This window comes from Homo sapiens, chromosome 12, assembly GCF_000001405.40.
Source record: "Homo sapiens chromosome 12, GRCh38.p14 Primary Assembly".
NCBI lineage: Eukaryota > Metazoa > Chordata > Mammalia > Primates > Hominidae > Homo > Homo sapiens.
Window position 1 is genome coordinate 986509 of NC_000012.12, and position 17219 is coordinate 1003727.

The following is a 17219-nucleotide window of genomic DNA, read 5'->3' on the forward strand; positions in this document are numbered from 1 at the left end:
TGTGCCACCATTCCCGGCTAATTTTTAAAATTTTTTTGTAGAGACAGGGTCTCGCTGTGTTGTCTGGGGTGGTCTCTGACTCCTGTCCTCAAGCGATCTTCTTGTCTCAGCCTCCAGAAGTGCTGGGATTACAGATGTGACCTACTGAGCCTAAACTGTTTTAACGATAGCAAGACTATGCTTCATTAATAGGTTGGGTGTAAAAGTTGAAACCCCTAAAAGCAGCATCTTCTAAGCTTTTTTTTTTTTTTTTTATCATAGTAACTGATTATTCTGTTTAATTCTCTCTTTTCCGGGCGTTTTCTCTCCCAGAACTCCTACCCTTCTGTTCCAATCTAACTAAGTTCCTGGGACTTCCCTTTACTGTTTTCCTGAATTGGATCTAGTGATTACTGGATGTTGTCAGATACCCTGATTTCTCCCTCATTTTGCTTGAGCACACATTTAAGTAACTCTTTTTTAAAATTTATTTTTATTTTTTGAGATGGAGTTTTGCTCACTGCCCAGGCTGGAGCGCAATGGCACAATCTCGGCTGACTGCAACCTCTGCCTCCCGGATTCAAGCAATTCTCCTGCCTCGGCCTCCTGAGTAGTTGGGATTACAGGTGCCCGCCATCATGCCTGGCTAATTTTTGTATTTTTAGTAGAGACGAGGTTTCACCATGTTGGCCAGGCTGGTCTCAAACTCCTGACATCGTGATCCACCCGCCTCAGCCTCTCAAAGTGCTGGGATTACAGGTGTGAGCCACCGTGCCCAGCCCGCCAGTTTGATTTTTGTCCTTTTATGGGCTCCTTTTTTTCCTCTTTGGAAACTTAGAATCTTCTTTATATTTAGAGTTCAAACATTTCACATGGTTGAATTTTTTTTTTCTTTTGGTTCTGCACTAGTGGATTCTTTCAGTTCTAGGAAATTGTCTTGCATTATTTTTTCAATAATTTTCTGTCCTTCATTAACTTTGTTTTCTCTTTTTCACATAATATTAGTCCTGTTGAACTAATTCTTTATCTTATTTTCTCTCACAATTTCCACCCCTTTGTATATTTATTGTTTTCTTTTTTTTTTTTTTCCTGAGACAGGATCTGGCTCTGTTGCCCAGGCTGGAGTGCAGTGGTGTTATTTCAGTTCACTGCAACCTCTGCCTCCTGGGCTTAAGCTATCCTCCCACCTCAGCCACCTGAGTAGCTGGGATTACAGGCATATGCCACCATACTTGACTTATTTTTGTATTTTTTTGTAGAAAAAGGGTTTTGCCATGTTGCCCAGGCTGGTCTTAAACTCCTGGGCTCAAACGATCTGCCTGCCTTGGCCTCCTAAAGTGTTGGGATTATAGGCGCAAGCCACTGCACCCGGCCCTATTTTCTTTTTTCTTTTTTGAAATAAGGTCTCTTGCTCTGTCACCCAGACTGGGGTGCAGCTTCCTAAAGTGTTGGGATTACAGGCGCGAGCCACTGCACCCAGCCCTATTTTCTTTTCTTTTTTGAAGTAAGGTATCTTGCTCTGTCACCCAGGCTGGGGTGCAGCACCACCATCCTGGCTCACTGCTCCGTTGACCTCCCAGGATGAGGTAATACTTACACCTCAGCCTCCTGAATAGCTAGGAACACAGGTGCGCATCACCATACCTGGCTAAGTTTTAAAACATTTTTAAAGAGATGGGGTCTCATTATGTTGCCCAGGCTTCTTCTATTTTCTTTAAAAGTTCAGTGACTTTATCTTTCAATATTTTAATTGAATTTATAATTTGGCAATTTATTTTAAATTTCAAGATCTATTTTTAAACCTTGGATTGTTACTTCATCTGAGTATCCTAGTATACTAATTAGGTTTTCCTTTCTAAATTCTCTGAAGTTTCTGTTTATCTGCCCCCACAGTCCATGTTGGAGACTTTTCTTAAATACCTAATAACACTTAGTTGTCTGTTCATACGTATGAGGCAGTTGGAATGCTGATGGGGAGTCTTGTGAACTTGGGAGGTGTCTTAGTCTATTTTATGTTGCTATAAAGGCATGCCTGCAGCTGGGTAATTTATAAAGAAAACGGGTTTGTTTAGCTCACAATTCTGCAGGCTGTACAGGAAGCAAGGCACTAGCATCTGCTCAGTTCTGGTGAGGGTTTTTGTGCTGCATCAAGACATGGCGGAGAAGGTCAAGGAAAAGTGTCTGTGCACATGCAAAGAGAAATCAAACCCGAGGTGAGTCCTGGCTTTACAACAAACCACTCTCCAAGGAACAAATCCATTCTCCTGATAACCAACATAGTTTCGCAAGTGTGAGAACTCACTACTGTAAGAATGACACCACGTCCTTCATGAAGAATCTGCCCCCATGACCCAAACACCTCCCATCAGGACCCACCTCCCAATACTATCACACTGGGAATCAAATTTCAACATGAGATTTGGTAGAGACAAAAAAACCATATCCAAACCATAGCAGGAAGTTCCTGCCAACTTGCCCAACTACACTTTAAAGTGGGTGGGTAGGAAACCAGCTATTGTGCTAGAATAAAGAATACTTTACTCTTAGGCCCTTCAATACTCAGTTAACCCAAATCTCCCCAGATTATCAGAGTGCTTAATTTTAGCCTGGATAAATGCCTAGATATTGTATCTGAGATATAGGGAGGGTTCTGCTCTTCCTTATATAGACCTTTATTTAGTCTCCCTGGTCTCAACTCTGCTTCTCACTCTTGCTCTGTCTGGTAGTTATCTCCAAATCTCCGTCTCCCTAAAGCACTTCTGGGCTGACAGGTCCCCTTCCTTTCTACAGCACCCTCTACACCCATTCTACATTATGCTTTTCTCCATTTTATTTTGTCAGACCACACTTACTTTTTGCATGTCAAATAAAAAAAAATTATCTTCCGATGTCCCCCTTCTCATTTTCTATTTTGTATCACTTTTATTTATCATCATTTTATGGGGTCTCAGGAAGAAGAGACAGTAAATACATGTGCTCGGTTAGCTAGCTTTAATCAAAAATCCTAAACGTAGGTTTTAAAAAAGATAACTGGAGCAGGGCAGGAAATAATATTTTTTGCCAGTGTGGTGGCAAAAAATAAAAAACAAAAATCTGAATCTGTGTTAGGACAGTATTTCCGTGTATAACATAGCGCTTAGCAACTTAATTCTCCAGATCCACATATTTTAAGGACATGATGTATCTCAGACACCTACTTCAAACCTCACTTTACAGTTAAGTAAGACCACAAGTAGAATGAATTGCCTGAGGCCACACAAGTAGACAGTGGGAGAATGAGAACAGAAATATCTATTGACTCCTAGTTGAATTTTCTCTTACCTTACCACACTGCTAGGGAGTAACAAGATGGGCAGATCACGAGTCAGATGAGAAAGGTCATGAAAAATAGTCAAAGGATGACTTTTCCTGGGTAAATAGCCGGATGTCCAAGAAATGAAAGGCTGGTCTGGCAGCAGCACATCGTCTAACAGTTGGTAGTCATATGTGGGAAGTACTGAAGGGGGAGATGACAGCAGGCCCAGAAACTGCAATGATCCAAGTGCATGTCGATCCTGGGAGGGAACAGTTAAGAGTCCGGGCAGGATGAAACAGTAGAAACTGGTGAGTGAATGAATGTGAAGGCTGAGGAGCGACTGCAATTTGTTAATGGGATTATGAGGCAGTATAAAGTGGTTAATTACGGTGGCGGAGGTAAGCAGGAGTAAAATGATGGCTTTTAACTCCTCTCAAGGACACCGAAAATTATTTTAATAAACACTGGAAGGCTGGGAATAAATATAATTCACACCATTCTTACTTTCTTGGTTTAGAGATAGCTTATCTACATCCTTAAATTAATGGCTGTAGCTACCCTCTGCATGGCTCCAAAAAAAAAACAAAAAACAAAAAACAAAACCAAAGCCGGCTGCGAGTCTGCACGAGAAAATCGGGTTGCACCAGGCCCCAGCCGCCCGCCGATTCGCTTAGCTGTCGGAGGCTAAATAAACAGCTCCCGAAGCAGCGTTTGGCACAGCGCAGGGTCGGAACGTGGACACTAATTTCCGCCCACGCTCCCCGCGTCCTGGCGGGATCACCACAGACACGACGTCCATTGCTGGGGTCCTCGGCGATGCCCGTGTGCGCAGCCCCGCGAGTCTCAGGTCAGAAGACCACTAATTTCGCGGCCGCGTTCCACGAAGCTAAGGGGCAAAAAACCAGCTTTCTTGGGACAAAGCGTCCCCCCAGCAGCCAGGGTCGATCCCGGCGCTGCTCCCGCGGCGCTTGGCTGCCCCGGGCGTAACGGGCCACGAGAAGTAGGGGGTGGGGCGCCGCTTAGGTTTGGGAAGACACGAAGCGGCTCCTCGGGCTTCCAGCGTCCACTTCCTACGGCAAGCAGGAGGAGACAAGCGCCACCCTGCGCTCGCGGAGCCGACCCCGGCTCTCCCCTCCCGTGGCCGCAGGGGTCGTGTGTGTGTGTGTGTGAGTGTGTGTGTGTGTGCAGGGACGCTCCGCGCCCATCACTCTGTTTCGGTGCTAATCGACCGCCGTGGCGCCGATTTCCCCCGCTTCCCAGTTCCTCACCCGCGTGCCCCGGAAGGCGCCCGGAGGCCCCCGGGCCGCCGCGTCACGCTCCCGGGAGGCTGAGGGAAAGGGAGGCAGCCGAGCCGGGAGCCCGGGGAGGCGCGCTGCGCCCCGCGGCGGGGCTGGGGGCGGGGCTAGGTGTCTCGCGCAGGGGGCGGGGCGCGGTGACGTCGCGGGCGCCTGGGCCGTGCTGTGGCGGCGGCGGCGGCGGTAGTGGCGGCGGCGGCGGTGCCTGGGCGGCAGCAGCAGCAGTAGCGGCAGCCCTGAGGACGGTGAGACGGCCGCGGCGGCGGCGACAGCGCGGAAGTCGCGCGGGACCCAGAGCTTCCCCCCTGTCGCTAGTGCTGAGGCTTTCGCCTTTCCTACCCAGCTTCTTGCTCACGGCCCGGGCTGGGCTGGGCAGGGCAACGCGCCCCCGGGGAGGGGCGGAGCTGTAGGTGAGGCTTCGCGACCCCCTCCCCCTCCTCGGCAGCCCGGGGGGTGGGGAGGGGCGGGCCCCACCCAGACCACCGGCGCCCACCCGCGGGCTCCACCCAGCCGGGCTCCGGGATCGGGCGGGAGCCGAGGCGGTAGATGTGGGGATCCTGGGGCGGGAGGTGGGGGAGTGGGGACTGGGGCTCTGGGCACTTGGGGAGCGGAGGGGGGGAGGCTTAGGACTAGTGAAGCCGCGGACGAGGTAGTGGGGAGACGGAGAAATTGGGGAGCCATGAGGTTGGGGTGCGGTCAGGGTGGATCTTTGGGTTAGGTGAGTGATGTAAAATGCTGAAGATGATTCTTTTCTTTTCGATGAAATGGTGAGATAAAAGATGAAGTGTATTTCAAAAGGACGATGAGCTGTGCATGTTGCCTTTGAGGCAGTTGCAGAACCTATTTTATTGCACTAGATCTCACGTTTCTACTTTAGGGTTCGATTCTTTTTCTTCTGGCGGGGTGGGTGGGGGGTCGGAGAGGGAAGAGAATCCCCTTACTTTGGCTCAGGTAAATTGTGAGCGTGGATGTATCTGAAAGTTTTACACCGAAGAAGAGGGAGATCTTCGGTTTAGACAACTTCGTTCCGGCAGCCACCATTTGGGTCGCATTACGCTTAGCTCCTTCAAGGTGGTGTCTTCCAGTTTTTTTTCCCCCCAATGCCTAAAAGATCTCTTTATACCACCCTTTTACAGGCTTTATCCTGGCCCCTTGAGAGAAGGCCCCAAACTCAGGTGGTTGCTTTGGAAGGCACATTGCTGAATAATAGTTGCAGGTGGTTGTGGTTGACTGCTTTGGGTGGATAAAGTGAACAATTGGAATAGTTCTGTTGGAGCTAATTATATGAAAAATGCTTAAATGTTTTAAAGTACAACCGTCTTTTATAGCGTGTTGCTTGCTCAGTACACCTTGACTTTTAGACATTTTGTGTTCAGTGCTAAATTGTTGAAATTTTATTTCTCATTTGCAGTTATGTTTCTTGCAGTCTTTATTAAAACACTTTAAAATGAAATGGAACTCTTTTTTTTTGGTAGGCTCCTCAATTTCTGAGAAATGTTCTTGGAGTCAAGTGCTTTAAAAACATTTTGGGGGCAGGTGTGTCACTTTGTATGGAAATATTAGAGTAAGCAGTGTTCAATGTTCTTCACATCACTCTTTCACAACTTAGCACTGTAAATCAGAATCTTCTTTTCTGGATTCTTGCTCCCTGTTAGATTACAGTATTCTCTGGCCCTACTTATCAGTTAGTGTCATTTAAGCTATTTCTTGTTCAGAAAACAGGTCCCATGATGGACATGTATTATGTAATGGATGGAAGTAGACATGGCTCTCAATAATTCATTTATGGAGGAAGAGAAGCTGTCAGAAAGTGGGATTTAAGCAGTGACTTTCCCAAGGCTTGCCTAGTTTATTTGGGAAAATAGCCAGAGAAGTGCTTTCTTGTAACCCAAAAGAGAAATATACAGATAAGAATTTCAGTAGTTGCAGATCGTTGCTTTTTCTAAGTGCCTACTTAATGAGCAGATTATTGTCTTCCAGCAAATACTTCTACTTTATAGAGAGGTATGGGAAACAGGACATAATAGGTATTAAGTGAGAAAGTGTGTGTTCCAATTTTTAATTATAAATAAAAGATTTAATTAACTGTATTCAGTTAATTCATTTGGTAAAGTGAACAGTTTTGACTTTGGATTAGTTAGAAGGAAAACAAAATTGACATATCTAGTTTTCGCTTTTAAATTATACATAGACTTAATTAATTGGGACAAATGTGAACTAAGATACTGGGTAAAACTTGTGTGTACTCCTAAAATGACATTTGCATGGCTGGTAGTAAGCTGTGATTCTTGTCCTTGTAGGAATGAAATCACATAATTTGGGGAAAGTCTTAAGGTAAAAGTAAGCTATTTCGTTTAGCATTTCTTGTGCCTGAAATTATGCCTACATTTTATTTTTCAAAAAATGTTGCTTGCTAGTCATTACTTGTGATATCCTTGTTGAGTCTACTGAGGTGTTTTTTTTCCTTCATTACCTGTGTCATAGATAAGTATGCCAGTCTGTTAATTCAACATTAATACTGCAAACTTAAAAGTGAAGGTTCTTGGCCGGGCGCCGTGGCTCATGCCTGTAATCCCAGCACTTTGGGAGGCCGAGGCAGGCGGATCATGAGGTCAGGAGTTCGAGACTAGCCTGGCCAACATGGTGAAACCCTGTCTCTACTAAAAATATAAGAATTAGCTGGGCGTGGTGGCACATGCCTGTAATCCCAGCTACTCAGGAGGCTGAGGCAGAAGAATTGCTTGAGCCTGGGAGGCAGAGGCTGCAGTGAGCCGAGATCATGCCACTGCACTCCAGTCTGGGCTACAGAGCGAGATTCCATCTCAAAAAATAAAAATAAAAATTGGCTGGGTGTGGTGGTGCACACCTGTAACCCCAGCTACTCAGGAAGCTGAGGCAGGAGAATTGCTTGAACCTGGGAGGTGGAGCTTGCAGTGAGCCGAGATTGCACCACTGCACTCCAGCCTGAGTCACGGCAAAACTCCGTCTCAAAAAAAAAAAAAAAAAAAAAAAAAAAAAGTGAAGGTTTTCATAGCAACAGCTGCTCGGTTTTACACTATGTTTACATTTAGAAGTATGAGAGTTGTTAAATGTGTATTTTACACATATTTCATCAGAAACATTAATGGAAAAAGATCAAGAAATGAAGTATTTTGGTTTAAGAATCAGTAGTACATTGATTATCAGTTTTCAGAGACATATAGTAAAATAAACTTAGCATACAGATTATGTGGAATATAATTTGTTTTTTTTTCTTATTTATTTTTTGTGTGTGGAATGTAATTGAAATCTGTTGCTCACCAAGTCTTTCAGTGTACTAGAGTTTGGGTTCTGGGGTCAGAGTGCCTGAGTTCAAATCCTGGCTTTGCCATGGTATGATGTAGGGCAAACTGCTTAATGTTGTTTATTTCCTAACCTTAACCTGTACCTTAATTTCTTCATCTGCAAAATAGAAATAATAACAGTAGTACCTAACCTCTTAAGCTGGTCAAATGAATTAATTCATGTATTTAGAACAGTTTGGGCACATAATTAGCTGGTTCACTAACATCATTTGAAGTTTAACTGTGTATACTATTTTTACTTAATAAGTATATATTAAATACATATTATGTACCACATATTCTAGATGCTGGTATCATAGTAGTGAACAGTTCTCCCAGCACTTTGGGAGGCCGAGGTGGGAGGATGGCTGGGCAACATAGCGAGACCATGTCTCTACAAAAATAAAAAAATTAGGCCGGGTGCGGTGGCTCACGCCTGTAATCCCAGCACTTTGGGAGGCCAAGGCGGGCGGATCATGAGGTCAGGGGTTCGAGACCAGCCTGGCCAGCATGGTGAAACCCCGTCTCTACTGAAAATACAAACAATTAGCTGGGGGTGGTGGCGCGTGCCTGGAATCCTGGCTACTCGCAAGGCTAAGGCAGGAAAATCTCTTGAACCCAGGAGGCGGAGGTTGCAGTGAGTGGAGATCGTGCTATTGCACTCCAGCCTGGGTGACAGAGCAAGACTCTGTCTCAAAAAAAAAAAAAAAAATTAGCATGGCAGTATGTGCCTATAGTCTCAGCTACTCAGGAGACTGAGGCAGGAGGATCACTTGAACCTAGGGGTTCGAGGTTGCAGTGAGCTGTCATTCCGTCGTTGCACTCCAGCCTGGGCGACAGAGTGAGGGAAGGCTATCTCAAATAAATAATAAATAAATAAAAGTACGGGCAGTAGTCAGGAGCTTATGCTGTATTGTTCCAGGTGAGGGTATCTCTGACCAAGGTGAAATGGGGAGGAGGGGTTGGATTTTGTATGTATTTTGAGGGTAGACCTATAGAATTTGTTGGTGGTTGTTTGCGGGATGTGGGCCAAACAGAAGAATAAAGAATAAGGTTTTTGGCCTGAATAACTGGAAGAATAAAGTTGCCAGTAACTGAATTGGAGATGGTAATTCATGGAGCATGTTTGTGGAGAAACCAGAAGTTCAGGGTGATGTCCAGGAAGAGTGAGAAATGTGGCTGTTTTCAGCTTCTTTGTAGTATTTATGATTATGAGATAGGTGAGATCATCAGGGGAGTGAATTTTGGTGGAGAAGAGATCCAAACATCTGAGCCTAGGGGACTGATTCATTCACTTATTCATTCATAAGTTACTTAGTGAGTATGGTTCTTCTAGGTACCTTTTTAGGCATTGGGGATATAAACCTGACAAAAGTTTTCACCTTCATGGAACTTACCTTCTAGATACGTGAGGGGAAATCAAGAGGAACCAGTAAAGGAGAGTGATAAGAAATCATTGAGTTAGGAGGGAAACCAGGGGAGTATGATATTCTAGAAGTGAAGGAAAGGAAGCTTTCAAGAAGGAGGGAACGGTCAGCGGTGTCATTGTTTAAAGTTGTGTCAGAATGTTGAGTAAGAGAGAATTCTGCTTGATTATGATGTCTAATAACAGGGAAATGACTAAATAAGTTTTAGTGTGAGATAGATGAGACAAATGTAAGAGTCTTTTAGTTTTTTACTTCTCTGTTTTTTTTGTTTTTTTTTTTGAGATGGAGTCTCTCTTTGTTGCCCAGGCTGGAGTGCAGTGGCGCAATCTCGGCTCACTGCAATCTCCGCCTCCTGGGTTCACACCATTCTGCCTCAGCCTCCGGAGTAGCTGGGACTACAGGTGCCCGCCACCATGCCTGGCTTTTTTTTTTTTTTTTTTTTTTTTTTGTATTTTTAGTAGAGACAGTGTTTCACTGTGTTAGCCAGGATGGTCTTGATCTCCTGACCTCATGATCCGCGCGCCTTGGCCTCTCAGAGTGCTGGGATTACAGGCATAAGCGACCACACCTGGCCTCATTCTCCGGGTAGATTTTTAAGAAATATTTCAGCCAGGCACAGTGTCACATGCCTGTAGTTCCAGCTGCTCTGGAGGCTGAGGCAGGAGGATTGCTTGAGTCCAGGAGATCAAGGCTGTAGTGTGCTATGATTGCATATGTGTATAGCCACTGCACTCCAGCCTGGGCTACATAGTGAGACCCCATCTGTAAATTAAAAAAAATCATTCTTTTCAGAACAAAATAGGCAACCTGGGAGTGCTAAGGAAAGGCACATGACTTCTTATTGTTGTTGTTAATTTTATGTACACTTATTTTAAGAAATAGGTAATATATGTACTAAATTAGAAGGTATAAGAGAATACACAGTTAAAAGTCTCTCCTATCCCATCTAGTTCTTTCTGAAGGCAATCACTGTTTGCAGTTTCTTGTTTTTTCTTTTTAGCCAGTGAAATTTTGTGTAATAGGACATTACCTATTCTAAAATTGCATACATATAAGAAACATTTTATCTTCCACTCTGACACTGAACACTGGCAATATTTTATACTTTTTGAGAAGGGTCTTGGTCTGTTACTCAGTCTGAAATGCGATGGTGCGGTTATAGCTTACTGCAACCTTGAATTCCTGGGCTCAAGCGATCTTCCCACCTCAGCCTCCAGAGTAGCTGGGACTGTAGCCATGTGCCACCATGCCTGGCTAATTAAAAAAAATTTGTAGAGAGACAAGGCGTCATTATGTTGCCCAGGCACTATTTTAGAATAGCTTATTTAAAAGATAGTTTTAGAAGCCTGTCAAGGGAAATAGTGACTGCTAGGATCAAACATGGATTCACTAAGTCACATCAGACAGTAGTTGCCTAGAATTGACTTGGTTACTTGACTGATAAATAAAGGAAATGCAGTAGTTGGAATTTATGTATACGTCAGCTAGGCTTTTTCATGTCGTCTTTGTGGAAAGTACGAACATATGTGTCCTAGATTTCTTGAGGACAGGAACTATCTATTAGATACTTATTAAATACTTGATGAATGAATGGATGCTAGCATAATAATGTGAATTCACAAGTTGAATACCCAGGAAATAAAGAGGTGCTTGTTGAGGATCTTGGGTTTGAGGAACTTGGTGTTAGACTCATCCATACATTTATTGAAATGACACAGGATGGTAGCAAGACTGGTGGCATAGAGGATAATGGCAGCTGTGAACTAGTTGCCAGCATATCCTTACTGAGTATGGGGGATGTCCAGGTGGTCATTAGCTGATAGTGAAGAGGTAGAGGTTGAAGACTGTGCTGCTGAATAGCATGAGAATTAGACTAAGATTTTACGTAAGGGTTTGGGAATAGTGGTCTGGAACTGGCACTGGCAGGAAGGAAGGTACCAGCCTCATTTCCCAGTATTGGGTGTGGAGTGGAAGAGACTGAGTAGCTTTCACTTAAAAGGACTATATGAGAAGAGGTGTCCTGATTGGAAAGTCAGCTTTCAGTTAAGGCAGAGAGGTAGCAAGAACATTTCCCAAGGAAGTTGAAGACTTTTAGAGGAGTTTCTTGATAAAAGAATGAAGTTCCATGAGAGTGTATTTTTCCACCCTATTGGCTTGTTATCATCATTTAAACTTTAAAATGTCTCTTCATCTTAATAAAAAACTCCAGATTTATACTTTATTGCTCTAAGTTGCTCTCTGCTTTACACACTTAAGAGTTTTCTGCATTTGCTGTGTATCTCCATTTCTTCACCTGTGACTTCTCAACCTATTTCTGTCTTGTTTCTATCGCCATTATTTCAGTGAAACTGAAAATAGCTAGTGAAAATATGTATGAAAATAGCCAATGTCTATTTTACTATCCTGTTCTTATTTAACCTCTTAGCAGCTGTGCTAGTTTCTATTGGCTATATAACAAATTACCCCCTAACTTAAGAAACATTTATTGTTTCACAGATTTTGTAGATCAGGAATGTGGGTGCAGTTGGCACCTATGATTCAGGGTCTCTCACAAGGCTGCAGTCATCTCAAAGCGCTACTTGGGGAGGCTGTTTCCAAGCTCACTCATGCGGCAATTGGCAGGCCTGAGGTCCTTGTTGGCTGCTTGCTGGAGAGGTGAGTCCCTTGCCATTTGGGTTTCTGCGTACGACTACTTAAAATATGATATCTCAGTGCTTCTGTCTTCAAAAGAGGACAGATATTAGCCAGAATCTTTTTGTAACCTTATCTTGGAAGTGATGTGGTATCACTTTTGTTGTATTCTGTTATCAGCCAGTCACTAGGTCCAGTGCACTCAAGGCAGGATTTCACAATTGCATGAATGCTGGGAGGCAGAGATCACTCATAGCCATTTCAGGACTGTCTACCACAGCAGCATTTGACAGAGCGGATACCCCTCCTTCCTTTGTAAAGCTCTCTCTTCTCTTGAGGTCTTCAGAGCACTTTTCTGTTTTTCTTGCTGGTTCTCTGGGCTCTTTCTCTGTCACTTTTTTTTTTTTTTTTTTTTTTTTGAGGCAGAGTCTTGCTCTATCGCCCAGGCTGGGGTGCAGTGGCACAATCTTGGCTCACTGCAACCTCCGCCTCCTGGGTTCAAGTGATTCTCCTGCCTTAGCCTCTTGAGTAGCTGGGATTACAGGTGTGCACCACCACACCCAGCTAATTTTTGTATTTTTAGTAGAGATGGGGTTTCACCATGTTGGCCAGGCTGGTCTCGAACTCCTGGCCTCAGGTGATCTGTCTGCCTTGGCCTCCCAAAGTGTTGGGATTATAGGCGTGAGCCACCGTGCCTGGCCTCTCAGTCACCTTTTGAGTCTTTCTGTGCTCATTTATTAAATGTTTGAATTTCTTTGGGCTTTCTCATCGCTTTCTATTTCATTTTTCATCTGTGTGCTGAGTATTCATTTTTATGTCTTCAGTTTTTACCTCTCTCCTGAGTCTGAGGACCACTCTATCGAATTGCTACTGAATGTTTCCATTTGGATGCCCCTTAAACCGAACACATCCAGAACGGAATGTATGATTCCTACACTTCCTCTGGTGTTTCTTAATTTGTTAAATGACACCACTGGGTGCTTAAGCCGGAAATGTGTGTGGTGTTCTTGATTTCTCCCTCTCCTCCACCTTCCATTTTACTATTGCTTTTTATTTTTCTAGAGCCATGGCTGTTCAGTGATGGTGTGAATGTTTCTATGAGGTAGTGCATCCTCTGCCAGGTTGCAAGCATTGAACCTGGTGCTAGGTGATTTTTTTTTTTTTTTTTTTTTGAGATGGAGTTTCACTCTGTCGCCAGGCTGGAGTGCAATGGTGCAACCTCCGCCTCCCGGGTTCAAACGATTCCCCTGCCTCAGCCTCCCGAGTAGATGGGATTATAGGCGTGCACCACCACGGCCAGCTAATTTTGTATTTTTAGTAGAGACGGGATTTCTCCATGTTGGTCAGGCTGGTCTCAAACTCCTGACCTCAGGTGATCCGCCTGTCTTGGCCTCCCAGAGTGCTGGGATTACAGGCGTGAGCCACTGTGCCCAGCCCGCTAGGTGATTTTTAAGATTCCTTCCAATCTTGAGATACTGCGTGTGTAGCTATTGAAGATTTCTGAGTAGGAGATGCATGATCAGGGCTGTGCTTCAGAAAGGTGGCAACTCTTGAACAGTCATTTTTAGTTGTTCACCAAAGAATGAAACTAAACACCTGTATTCTTTTTAACTTTATTATGGTGTGCTAAGTGATGAATAGATAATTTTTATGTGACAGCCCTTTTGTATATATTAGTTTCATTTTTTCTCATTGTTAATGCATTTATGTTTGGAAGCCCTTTTGCATGGAAATAAGATAATCAGGCCAGGCACAGTGGCTCACGCCTGTAATCCTAGCACTTTGGCAGACTGAGGTGGGTGGATCACTTGAGGCCAGGAGTTCAAGACCAGCCTGAGCAACGTGGCGAAACCCCATCTCTACTAAAAAATAAAAAAATTAGCTGGGTGTGGTGGTGCACGCCTGTAATCACAGCCACTCTGGAGGCTGAGGCATGAGAATTCCTTGAACCCTGGAGGCGGAGGTTGCAGTGAACTGGGATTACACCACTGCACTCCAGTCTGGATGACAGAGCGAGACCCTGTCTCAGAAAAAAAAAAAAAAATAACCCAATGGGATGAAAATTTTGGGATGAAAATTTGTGTGAACTTAAATTAAGTGTCTCTGCCATCCTGGCCAACATGGTGAAACCCCGTCTCTACTAAAAATACAAAAATTAGCTGGGTGTGGTGGTGTGTGCCTGTAGTCCTAGCTATTTGGGAAGCTGAGGTGAGAGAATCGCTTGAACCTGGGACGCACAGGTTGCAGTGAGCCAAAATCACGCCATTGCACCCAGCCTGGTGACAGAGCAAGATTCTGTCTTAAAACAAAAAAAATTAAGTGTCTGAAATTGTAAAAACTTCTCAAGAAATAAAATTCAGACCTTAAACATAATTTTACTGTAGGAATATAACTTACCTTTTGAAGGAATTCTTTCTTGAAGCCATTATTTGTGTATTTATTTATTTTTAATTAACTTTTTTGTTTGTTTGTTTTTTTGAGATGGAGTTTTGCCCAGACTGGAGTGCAGTGATGCGATCTCGTCTCACGGCACCTCCCAGGTTCAAGCGATTCTCCTGCCTCAGCCTCCCAAGTAGCTGAGATTACAGGTATGGGCAACCACGCCTGGCTAATTTTTGTTTTTAGTAGAGATGGAGTTTCACCATGTTGGCTAGGCTGGTCTCAAACTCCTGACCTCAGGTGATCTGCTCACCTCGGCCTCCCAAAGTGCTGGGATTACAGGCGTGAGCCACACTGCCGGTGCTTGCCACCTTGCCTGGCTAATTTTAAAACTTATTTTTGTGGATATTGAGTTTTGGTTTTTTGTCTAGGCTGGCATCGAATTCATAGCTTCAAATGATCCTCCTGTCTTGGCCTCCCAAAATGCTGGGATTACAGGCATGAGCCACTGTGTCCGGCCTTGAAGCCCGTCTTGAATGTAACACATATGTAGAAAAGTATGTAAAACAAAAGTAAAGCTTTACAATTTATGAATCAGACACTTGTATAACCATGATGTAGGTCAAGCACTAGGACCTTACTGACATTCCACAAGCTTTCCTTGAAGCTTCCCAATCACAACCCAGTCCTTCTCTCATAAAGGTAATCTCTGTCCTGATTGTAGGAGAATCACCTTCTTTTTTTGTGTGTGTAGACCTTTTTAGTTTTGGCTTAGTTTTGATTGTTTTGCATCTTTATATGCATGGAATCATATTGTATGTATTCATGTCTGGCTTTGACTCAACATTTTGTTTGTAAGATTTAGATTTGTATGTAGCTGTTCGTTCATTTTCATTGCTAAATAGTATTCCATTGTATAAATATACTACAGTTTATTGTATTATTGATGGATATTTAGGTTGTTTCTAGTTTTGGGCTATTATGGATTATGCCACTATGACTATTCTTGTAAAGTCTTTTTTTTTTTTTTTTTTTTTTCCTGAGACGGAGTCTCGCTCTGTTGCCCAGGCTGGAGTGCAGTGGCGCAATCTCTGCTTACTGCAACCACCGTCTCCTGGGTTCAAGTGATTCTCCTGCCCCAGCCTCCCGAGTAGCTGGGATTACAGGTGCCCACCATCACACCCAGCTGTTTTTTTGTATTTTAAGTAGAGATGGGTGTTTGCCATGTTGACCAGGCTGGTCTGGAACTCCTGGCTTCAAATGATCCACCTGCCTCAGCCTCTCAAAGTGCTGGGATCACAGGTGTGAGCCACCATGCCCGGCTTTTTTTTTTTTTTTTTTTTTTTTTTTTTTTTTGAGACAGTTTCACTCTGTCGCCCAGACTGGAGTGAAGTGTTGTGATCATGGCTCACTGCAGCCTTGACCTTCTGGGCTCAAGTGATCCTCCCACCTCGGCCTCCCAAGTAACTGGGACTACAGGTGCATACCACCATGCTTGGCTAATTTTTTTTTTTTTTTTGGTACTTTTTTGTAGAGATGGAGTTTTACTATGCTGCTCAGGCTGGTCTTGAACTCCTGAGCTCAAGTAATCTGCCTGCCTTGGTCTCCCAAAGTGCTGGGACTACAGGTGTGAGCCACTGCACCTTGCCTTGTGCAAGTCTTTTAGTGCATATGTGTATGTAATTCTTTTGTGTATTTGGCCAGGAGTGAAAGTCCTGGGTCATAGGATATGCATATGTAGAATTTTAGATAATTGCCAAACAGTATTCCTTCTTTGTGGTTCTACAAATTACATGCCCCAAAGAGTGTTTGAGAGTTCATTTTGTTCCATATCTTTGCCAATACTTAGTATTGTCACTATTATTAACTTTAGCCGTTCTGGTGGATTTGTAGTAGTATCTCTTGGTTTTAATCTGCATTTCACTTATTACTAATGAGGTTGAATAATTTTATGTTGGTTACTTAGGAAACCTTTTGTGAAATGCTTATTCACATGTCTTGCCCAATTTTATCTTTTTTTTCTTATTATAGGAGTTCCTTATATATTTTGGATATGACCCCTTCTTTGGTTATTTGTGTTGCAAATATTTCCACCTTACTCTGTGGCTTGCCATTTAAGACTTCTTAAGGAGGCCAGGCACCGTGGCTCATGCCTGTAATCCCAACACTTTGGGATGCTGAGGAGGGTGGATTGCTTGAGTCCAGGAGTTCGAGACCAGCCTGGGCAACATAGTGAAACCCTATCTCTATGAAAAATGCAAAAAAAAAAAAAAAAAAGACTCAAAAAAAAAAAGAGAAAAGAAATGTGTTAGGACCCTAATTGGACTTTAATTGGATTTGTAGATTAATTTGGGTAGAATTACTTTTTTGTAATGAGGAATCTTTGACTAATTCAATATGATATCCCTGTTATTTATGTTGTATTTCATATATCTCAGTAATGTTTTATAGTTTTCTGTGCAGTATTACACATCTTTTGTTAAATTTAGTCCTAGTATCTGATGGTATTATAAATAGAATTCTAAGATCAATGTTATTTTCCATTACTTGTTGGTATATTGAAATAAAACTGAATTTTGAGTGCTGACTCTGTATTTTGCTAATCAAGCCTTATAATAATTTTATCTGTAGATTCTTTTGGCTTTCCAACTTACATAACCATATCATTTGTGAATAATTACTGTTTTCTGTTTTTCTTCGCAATTCTTACACCTTTTTCTTTTCTTCACTGGCTGGGATTTCTGGCATGTTGTTGAATAGAGATAGGAGACGTCATTGTCTTTTCCCATCTCAAAGGGAAATCTTTCAACTTTTCATTGTTAGGCATGATGTTGTCAAGCACACTTACACAAGACAAGGCAAGGCTAAGACCTTGCCTGTCTGATTTGAC

General features: G+C 43.3%; 2 protein-coding genes across 55 annotated transcripts in view, besides 7 other annotated features; one reads left to right on the forward strand and one right to left on the reverse strand.

Moving 5' to 3' along the window:
- RAD52 (RAD52 DNA repair protein) overlaps positions 1 to 4614 on the reverse strand; it is a 79387-nt gene extending 74773 nt beyond the window's left edge. Inside the window, exons 1-2 of one of the 3 annotated variants that reach the window (XM_017019769.2) lie at positions 4543 to 4614; positions 3301 to 3533 (exon numbers count right to left, since the gene is read on the reverse strand). The gene's annotated coding sequence lies outside the window, so the exon portion shown is untranslated. Of the gene's footprint in view, positions 1 to 3300; positions 3534 to 3778 lie in introns of those variants that run through there. The other 2 variants (XM_005253720.6, NM_001297419.1) reach the window with 2 other exon arrangements.
- ERC1 (ELKS/RAB6-interacting/CAST family member 1) overlaps positions 3451 to 17219 on the forward strand; it is a 505975-nt gene continuing 492206 nt past the window's right edge. For 24 of the 52 annotated variants that reach the window (NR_027948.3, NR_027946.3, XR_001748631.3 and 21 more), the window contains exon 1: positions 4715 to 4979. The gene's annotated coding sequence lies outside the window, so the exon portion shown is untranslated. Of the gene's footprint in view, positions 3583 to 4037; positions 4122 to 4714; positions 4980 to 5041; positions 5112 to 17219 lie in introns of those variants that run through there. The other 28 variants (XM_017019056.2, XM_047428559.1, XM_047428564.1 and 25 more) reach the window with 6 other exon arrangements.
- Positions 3546 to 4108: an enhancer, noted in NCBI's record as "H3K27ac hESC enhancer chr12:1099220-1099782 (GRCh37/hg19 assembly coordinates)". NCBI's record gives its function as "activates a minimal SCP1, AML or CMV promoter by ChIP-STARR-seq in primed H9 embryonic stem cells {active_cell/tissue: H9 hESC(primed)}" and the evidence as "EXISTENCE:reporter gene assay evidence [ECO:0000049][PMID:30033119]".
- Positions 3930 to 3979: a silencer, noted in NCBI's record as "silent region_4109". NCBI's record gives its function as "represses an Ori minimal core promoter by ATAC-STARR-seq in GM12878 lymphoblastoid cells {active_cell/tissue: GM12878}" and the evidence as "EXISTENCE:reporter gene assay evidence [ECO:0000049][PMID:35858748]".
- Positions 4390 to 4499: a silencer, noted in NCBI's record as "silent region_4110". NCBI's record gives its function as "represses an Ori minimal core promoter by ATAC-STARR-seq in GM12878 lymphoblastoid cells {active_cell/tissue: GM12878}" and the evidence as "EXISTENCE:reporter gene assay evidence [ECO:0000049][PMID:35858748]".
- Positions 4520 to 5029: a silencer, noted in NCBI's record as "silent region_4111". NCBI's record gives its function as "represses an Ori minimal core promoter by ATAC-STARR-seq in GM12878 lymphoblastoid cells {active_cell/tissue: GM12878}" and the evidence as "EXISTENCE:reporter gene assay evidence [ECO:0000049][PMID:35858748]".
- Positions 4520 to 5231: a biological region, named in NCBI's record as "H3K27ac hESC enhancer GRCh37_chr12:1100344-1100905".
- Positions 4670 to 5231: an enhancer, noted in NCBI's record as "H3K27ac hESC enhancer chr12:1100344-1100905 (GRCh37/hg19 assembly coordinates)". NCBI's record gives its function as "activates a minimal SCP1, AML or CMV promoter by ChIP-STARR-seq in primed H9 embryonic stem cells {active_cell/tissue: H9 hESC(primed)}" and the evidence as "EXISTENCE:reporter gene assay evidence [ECO:0000049][PMID:30033119]".
- Positions 5235 to 5529: a silencer, noted in NCBI's record as "tiled region #6010; HepG2 Repressive non-DNase unmatched - State 1:Tss". NCBI's record gives its function as "represses a minimal TATA promoter and a strong SV40 promoter by Sharpr-MPRA in HepG2 cells {active_cell/tissue: HepG2}" and the evidence as "EXISTENCE:reporter gene assay evidence [ECO:0000049][PMID:27701403]".